Source organism: Homo sapiens, chromosome 2, assembly GCF_000001405.40.
Source record: "Homo sapiens chromosome 2, GRCh38.p14 Primary Assembly".
Taxonomy (NCBI): domain Eukaryota; kingdom Metazoa; phylum Chordata; class Mammalia; order Primates; family Hominidae; genus Homo; species Homo sapiens.
Window position 1 is genome coordinate 35,176,101 of NC_000002.12, and position 1,375 is coordinate 35,177,475.

The 1,375-nt window shown below is 38.6% G+C and overlaps 1 annotated feature.

The window, feature by feature from the left end:
* Positions 286 to 1,076: an enhancer, noted in NCBI's record as "OCT4-NANOG hESC enhancer chr2:35401452-35402242 (GRCh37/hg19 assembly coordinates)". NCBI's record gives its function as "activates a minimal SCP1, AML or CMV promoter by ChIP-STARR-seq in naive and primed H9 embryonic stem cells {active_cell/tissue: H9 hESC(naive and primed)}" and the evidence as "EXISTENCE:reporter gene assay evidence [ECO:0000049][PMID:30033119]".

A 1,375-nucleotide genomic window follows, 5' to 3' on the forward strand; every position in this document is an offset into this window, starting at 1 on the left:
TTTTTTTTTTCTTTGAGATGGAGTAGTCTGTTTCTGTTGACCAGGCTGGAGTGCAGTGGTGCAATCTCGGCTCACTGCCACCTCTGCCTCCTGGGCTCCCAGGTTCAAACGATTCTCCTGCCTCATCCTCCCAAGTAGCTGGGATTACAGGTGTGTGCCATCATACCCGGCTAATTTTTGTATTTTTGGTGGAGACAGGGTTTCACCTTGTTGGCCAGGCTGGTCTCGAACTCCTGACCTCAGGTGATCTGTCTGCCTCAGCCTCCCAAAGTGCTAGGATTGTTGTACCCGGCGAGTTAAGAAGACACCACACTTTGAGACGAATTAAGAGTCCTTTATTAAGCCAGTGGCCAAATAGACGGCTAATGCTCAAAATTCTCTCGGCCACGAGGAAAGGGCTCGATTAACTTTTATACCTAGGTTTAGGAAGGGGAGGGGGACTCAAACGTAATAATTCTACAGAAGTAAAAACATGCAAGAATCAAAAGAATCAAAATGGTTACAGAGTGATAATTTAAAAGACAAATGGTTACAAGAAGAGCAAGGGTGCCACGTGCAAGGTTCTAAATCTTTTATTATAATTAGATATAGGGTCTATGCCGGACAGGAACTCAAGGTTTTATGTTGTTATCTCTTGGAGAAAATTCCTGGGAACTTAATACGTTGTTGGTGTTGGTACCTTATCAGTTAATTGGGCTCCTTTGAAATGCTGAGGATCTGTTTACCCAGGCCAACTCCTCACAAAAGGGGTTTGGGTGAGGAGCCCTAGTGTCTTGTAAATTAAGGGGTCAGTTGGAGTTTGTCCGGCTTTCCTAGCTAGAGAGAGTCTTATTTACATGAGAAGCAAGGCTAGGTGATTAAAGAGACAGGCAGGACAAAATTCAAAGTAACCAGTTAAAGTAAAAACACGGTTAGGCATTTCAGGATTACAAGCGTGAGCCACCACGCCCAGCCAACATTTCTTTTTTACCTTGCTTTATTGCACTGGCTAAGAATTATGATTAAATGCTGAATGAAAATAGAACAAACATTTTTGCATTTTTTCCCTGACTTGCAGGATTCAGATTTTAACACTAAGTATGATTATATAACGGTTTTATATTATAGATGCCCTTATCCACTGATAAATTAAAGTTTTCTTCAATTATTAGTATGCTGAGGTTTTTGTCATGAATAGATTTTGAATTACATCAAATATTTCTTGGGCATTCATTTACATATCACTTTATTAATATGGTTAAATATGGTAATTAATTTTCTAAAGTTAATAGAATATTTTCAATATTTGAAATACACCATATTTGGTCATGATGCATTATCTTTTTAAAGTAACTGCTGCAATTCATTTGTTAACATTTTATAAGGATTTTTTAAA